Below are 7371 nucleotides of genomic sequence, written 5' to 3'. Positions count from 1 at the left end.
CAATTTAGGGAGAAATGACATAATAACATTCCATTATAAATGGAAATAACTCCATTTACTTAGGTGTTCTCTGATCTCTTTCATCAGTGTTTTATAATTTTTAGCATTCTGACCCTGTACATATTTTTAGATTTATACTTAATAACTTAATGAGTTTTGATATTGTAAATGGTACTTTTAATACAAATTTTTAATCGGCTTTGCTGTTATGTAAAAATGGAGTTGAATATTTGTAGTAGCTTTGTATCATGTGATTTTGCTATACTCAATTATTAGTTATAACACCTTTTTGTGGATTTTGTGGAAATTTCTACATAACTAATTATATCATCTGTGAATAGTGAAATGTGCTTCTTTCCTTCCAAACATTATAAATTTTATTTCCTCCATTATCATGTCCATACTGTAGATAGGTTTGAAATGAGTTTTCTTAAGGTGTATTTTTCTCATAAAGTCTTTATTTCTCCTTTGTTCTTGAGATTTTTTCTGGGCATACTATTTTCAAGACACGATGAGATGCATTGAATAAAGAAAGGTGAATGTTCTATGGTTCTCGTTGAAATATTTCAATGAGGATAATTCAAGAAATGAAATTATATGCTTGATAATACAGTATAACATAATATAGTATCTTATAAAGGCAATGTGAACAAAAGCTATGGGACCACAATGGAGAGATGGATTTAAGTGGATAATCTGAGATTTCTTAAAAGAAAAATCATTTATTTGGAACTAGATCAAAAAAATGAATAAGTTATTTTCTAGTAGAAAAAGTGAGGAATAGCCTTTAGTACTCAGAAAGCTATGTTACAGAAAAAAAGACAAAGGAAAAAATCTTATTCTTTTGAGGAAAAGCACTGAGCAATATAGCTTGAGTGTAGGGTACATGTGTGGGGTGATGGGAGATTAGGACCAAATTGCTGTACTTCTGCCAAATTGTGGAGTTTGGTTTTTAGTCTACATAAAAGGCAAATGATTTAAGGTTTCTAATAAGGGAAAAGACATAGTCAAATATGAACCAAATGAATAAGTACAGCAGCAGCATGTATAAAAACAAGGCATGTGCAATGATTAATTTTATGTATCTACTTGACTGGGTGCCCAGATATTTGGTCAAACATTATTACAGATTTGTCTGTGAAGTGTTTTGGGGTAAGATTAATATTTGAATTGGTAGATGGAATAACACAGATTGTCCTCCATAATATGAATGGCCCTCATCCAATCAGTTGAAGGCCTGAATAGAACAAAAAATCTGAGTAAGCTGGAACTGCCCCTGCCTGACTGCTTTGAGCTGGGACTTTGATCTTTTCCTGCTTTGGGACATGAACTAAAACATCGGCTCTTGGGTTTTTACCCTGCCAGCTTTCGGACTCGAATGTTCACCATTGACTTCCCTGGTTCTCAGGACTTTGGACTTAGGCTGGAACTGCATCATCATCAGCTCTGATGGGTCTCCAGCATGCTGAATGCAGATATTGGGACTTCGCAGCCTCCATAATCATGTGAGCAAATTTCGTATACACACATACTGTTGATTCTGTTTCTCTGAAAATTCCTGACTAGTACAGAGATTTTGGATTAATAGATCACTTAGGTATCCACTGAAATATTACTAGCGGGAAATAGTGCTGATCTGAATGAGAGTGATAGCATATACATATGTCATTTTCTTGTTTGCTCCTCTTCCCTAGTAGCAAAAACTACCCTAAGGAAAGAAGGTTTTTTTTTGACAATTAAAAAAATAAACTTTAGCATCATTGAAACATTAGAAAATATGTCTGCACAAATGAATAACTTAAAAATATATTATTACTGAAATGGAGATAAACATTGTAACATCTTGGCCTGTGTACTTCTAGAATTTTATCTGTGAGTAATTACCCATACCTCCCCACAAAAGACTATGCATTAGGTCATATAAAATATTTTTGGTAATCTATTTATTTCATATAACAATGTATAATGAACATCTTCTTCTGACACTAAAATATCTATGTCAGCACTTAAATATGCAGAAGTATTTTTTATTCTTCAAGTCCTTGGTACTAAATAACTACTACTCACTCAGTTTCCCCTTCATAGCTTACCGAGAAAGGATCGTAGCAAATCATAGCTTTCAGTAGGTACAGAACATAGAGAAACATTTTTTAATTGCATAATTATACTAAGATAGAAGTTACAAATCTTGGACATTGATAGACATTTACTCATATTAACTTGGCCTGTGTACTTATATAAGCAAAACAAGATAATACCTATCAACACATTTCAGGCAAATTTCTACTTTATCGATAAATCCAAAATGTGATCACCATTAGTACCACCACTTCAAACCATGTAAAGGGATGATTGCAAACTTATGATATTTAGATACTACTTTAGCCAAAGATATTATATTTGGTTTTATATTTTGAATAGTGGTCTGTTGTATCACATGCTGATCTGTCACCAGTCCATAGAAAACCTTTGTGAAATCTAGGAAAAGATGTCCTTTCTGGATGGATAAAGTCCTGCAAAGTGCCTGACTTGACAAGGTGACACTCCTTCCTCCATATGGGGCAGGTATATCCCCATGCCAGCCCCAGTTTAGTAAGTGGACCTCAGGCTGAATTTCTGCTCCTATTCTCCTGTCAAAACTGTATGTGGTGCCCTGAAAGTTGGAAATACTAATGAAAGATTCAAAATAAAATTAGTATTCCCTACTATATTGTCTTAACAAATTAAAAAATATGACTCTGCTAAGAAACATTATTTCAGTATTTCATATGCAGACATTTAAGTTGATTCTCAAACAAACATATCATTAATTTTTTTCAGTCTGTCTCTGCACTTTGAAGAGATAATCTCCAGGGTACAAGCTGTCACAGGGCTGAGTCACTAATGTATTTTGACTTTACGCTAGGAGAAATCACTTCACATCTGGTATTAAAGAGTGTTCGTTTCTTGCTTCTTGTGACAGTTCTTGGCAAAGTTTGTTAAACCATAATGTTTATTTAAACATGTTTTAAAAGATGTGCCCAAATTGCTTTTATGTCCTTGTAGTTTAATCATAACATTATGTGCCACTGAAGACCAGAAGATACATGATTTACACAAATTATCCAATATAAATGGTTGGATGCGATGGCTCACACCTGTAATCCCAGCACTTTGTGGGGCCAAGACAGGAGGATTAATTGAGGCCAGGAGTTTGAGACCAGCTTGGGCAAGATAGCAAGACCCTATCTCTACAAAAAAAAAAAAAAAAAAAGAAGAAAGAAAGAAACTGAGCCAAATGCGGTGGTGCATGCCTGTGGTCTCAAATACTCAGGAGGTTGAGATGGGAAGATTGTTTGATCCCAGGAGGTCAAGGCTGCAGTGAGCTGTGATCCTGTCACTGCATTCCAACCTGGGTAACATAGTGAGACACTGTTTCAAAAATACATAAATATATACAGACATTATTGCCACTTGAATCTAAATCCTTCAATATATGATGTACAATGAGGCTTATATTTGTAGAACTCTCAATAAAATCATACCTAAAAATGATAGGAAGTTTCTACTCATGAATAACTTAAATTCAGGCCAATGTTCACCTGCATGAAAGCAGAGCTCTCCCTTCTATGCTTTTGTAAAAATTGTGATCATCCATGTATGTATAAGGTTATCAAGTTACCATAAACTTAGTAGCTTATAACAACAGAAATTTATTATTTTACATTTATGGAAATCAAAAGTCTGAATGGGTATCATTAGGCTAAAATAAAGGTGTTGTTAGGTCTGTGTTTCTTTCTGCATTCTTTTGCTAAGTCCTCACATTGATTGCCCCATCTCTGTGGGAGAGTTTAGATTGTGTCACAGTTTTGAGGAGGGCAGGATTGCACTTCTCCTTCCCTGCTTACATTATGATCCTGTCGAGGGAACAAAGGATCAGAGATTGAAATGTAAGCTCTATTAGTGAGAAAGCCCAGTTTGGAAGAATGTGACAAAGATGAACTCCCTAATACTTAAGAGTAGATTTTGGCAAAGTTTCCCACCCAGCCCCAAGTGGTGCTGGAAACCGCACATGGAAATCTGTCCTTACAGTACTCTTAACCTGGAGGCATGGATTAGAACACTTAATCTTACTCTCAGGTAAGGCTGATTCCCAAGAAACATCAGGACTGGAGTCTAGACTATTTGGCAGTTCCCCTCTATATTTATCAGCAGGTAACTTTGCCCCCGTGGAAAGAGGTAAGAGGAGAGCAAGTAAAAACCCCTCCTCATGGAAACCACAGCAGTGAGTTAGAAACATTCCTCTCTCTGCTGTCCAACAGACTAGTCATTTTAATAAACATCTAAGAAATTTATTAAAGTCACTTATAAGACCTGGTAATATTATATAGTAGTTTAGCTGTCTCAAAATAAAAATCCCTCCTCATGGAAACCATAGCATTGAGTTGGAAACATTTCTAAATATGTTAGGAAATAGATGGAGCATATGCCATTAAATTGAATTGTAGGAACTAATTATCCAAATAATCTGACCCACCATTTCTCCAAATTTAAATTTCAAACTATTTATTTTGATACAAGCTGCCTTACATATTTTGGAATAAATAAAATCTTGTTTTAAATTATGCAAAATGCTTAAGGGAAGAGTAAAAATAATTATCTGAATATTTATAAATGTGTTAATAACATCATTTTTCTTTATACTAAGATCTATAAATTGCTAAGTATGTTTCCAAAGAAACATGTTATCTATGTTTAAGGTGAGTTTAGAAAGCCTTTTTACTTTAGAATTTACTTTAGAATTATGTGCTCTTCGAGATCAGGGATGGAACTGGGCTAACCATTGTAAAATATATCACCATGCATTCCTTGGGAGCTCTGCAAAAGTTTGCTGAGGTAAAGAAAGACAAGCAGGAAATTATTTCCAGTTGGTTGGAGCCAAACTTCCTAAGTTCAAATCCTGCCACTACAATGTACTAACATTGCATGACTTCTGGCCAGTTACTTAATATTTCTGTGCCTCATTCCCTTCAAGATGTAAAAGGATTATAATAACAGAACCTTCCATAGGGTTGTTGTAAAAGTTAAGTTTAATATGTAAAGCCCATAGAATAGCAGCTGGCAGATTGTAAGCTAGTATAGTAAGTATTCATAATAAAACAAATGGAGACCCAGAGACTTGTCCCATGTCACAGGTTTAGAAAAATCCAGGGCTTCAGCCCAGTATTCTGATTAATTCTGGCTCTGTATTTAATATGCTAAAATTATCTTCACAATATATATTCATGGGATTTAAACATTCCAACTTTAGAGCTAGATGTTCGGGCATGCATGAAGATGTTCCTGTATTGAAATTCTTATGATATCCAGCATTTTGGGGTTATTCATTTTTAAAATACAAACACATAATTTGACTTCTGACACCCTATAACACCTGAGATCTCAGAATTTCTTTTGATTTTCTAGGATTCTCACAGGATTCCACTGGGATTCTTATCTGTTTTTCAGGTTGCAATGTGGCCTCTCTCCTGCCTTCACTTTATCGCTATTGCTAATTTTTCTTGTACACTGCATCCTGATATTTTCCCTCTGCATGATTTGTTTCAAACTTGGACAAAATCTTCTCTCAATTCTCCAATGAACCATTAATAAAAGATCGTGATGGGATATAATCTTTTCCTAAGTCTCTGAGTGTACTTCGGGAGAATTTTAGAATGGTACAGGTAATAATTTAAAATGAAATATAGGACTCTTTCGTTGGCCCCAGCCTGCTGTCTTTCTCTCCCTAATGTGCCAGGAAGCTCAACATTCTGGTTTCTTTTGCTTGCCAAACAGGGAGCAAAATTAGGTAACCTCAGAACTACCACTTTTCACCATATATCAGTAAAGAAGATAATTATTAATGTCATAAATTCAATTTGCTATTGAAACCATAAGCATAATCATGATAGACAGACTCTTCCCTCTCGAAAATTAATTTTAAAATTTATATTTTTATTGTATATGGATTTTTGTTGTTATTGACCATTTATCTATATAGTTACAGAATAATATGAAGCAATTTTAATATGAGCTAGCCAAACTGTGATAGTGTAGTATGACAAATAGCTTGAAGAAAACTAAGATTTATCAAATGGTGTTTTACAAGGGTGAATTTTTTTTTAATCTGAAAGAAATGTTTATGTACAGCAAAGACTATGTAGAGATGAGAGTTAAACTACCATTGTTTTTTGACACATCATAAAAATGCCTCAATTTGTGTTTAAATTCAACTAAAAAATATCATTAGTCTATTTATTTTACTTTTAACTTAGTAATTATATCCCTTCATACGTTTTAAATTGTACTTTCAAATATAATCAATTTTATTTTTAAATAGTTTAAATTAAAAAAAATTAAGTATAGTAAGTCTTATTAGTTCATTTAAACATTCCAACAATCATTAAAACATTGTCAAGTTGCTGTGATGCCACATTGCTGCCACAACTTAAGGTCATTTACTTAATTAGACATTTTAAAATTGAAATCTTAAGTCCAGTCTTTCAAAATCTCTATAATGATAACGTTTATTAAGCATTGTTGGCCTTTCAATGCCAAATAGATGCAGATTGTTCTAGTGATTAAAACCATATCCCTTACTTTATCATCAAATAATTAAATCAGTGAGTTTATTTGCTTTTATTATCTTTTTACTTAATTACAAATCTTTCCAGGGTTGAAAGACAAATTCAGGAAATAATTTTTGTAATCTCTAGCAAGTTGAAGACGGTTATATGTCTTCTCACAGAAAACTTATTCCCATCTTTTCTCTCCCTGATGTGCCAGGAAGCTCAACCTGAGAACAGTTTATATTCAGGGTGATTTGACTTGCATTATAGATAAACTGTGCTACCTAATAAGTCAGTGTGAATATGAAACTGTAAGTTAAAACTATACTTACAAAATATATAAAGTACACTATGGTGTACATATGTATTATCTACCATAAACTTACAGGTTCAAGTTGTACTTTTATTCAATTATTTTCTCTCCATGGGTTGGAGAATTTCCACACCTTTCCTGTCCCCAGCGTGTGCACACACACACACATGCACACACACCACAAACATACACACTGCGGCTAACCTGCTTCTATAATCTCCTTATTATAATTGAATTGTATATTAATAGAATATTATTTGGATCTAGCCAGACAAAAATTCACGTAGACATTTTTATGCAATCTGAATGGTTCTGCCTATTTCAGGTCTTTTGCTGGCTGTGCAGGTCTCATGGCACTAAAGTCATGTTCATGGAACATTTATGTGCATAACGTCTTGCTTACATTAAATGATTTAAACTTCCTAAATTCAGCAAGGCATTCTGTTTTCAAAAAGTAGGAGAGTGCCTCAA

This window comes from Homo sapiens, chromosome 18 (assembly GCF_000001405.40).
Source record: "Homo sapiens chromosome 18, GRCh38.p14 Primary Assembly".
In the NCBI taxonomy this organism is placed as follows: Eukaryota; Metazoa; Chordata; class Mammalia; order Primates; family Hominidae; genus Homo; species Homo sapiens.
This window is presented reverse-complemented; position numbering follows the sequence as displayed.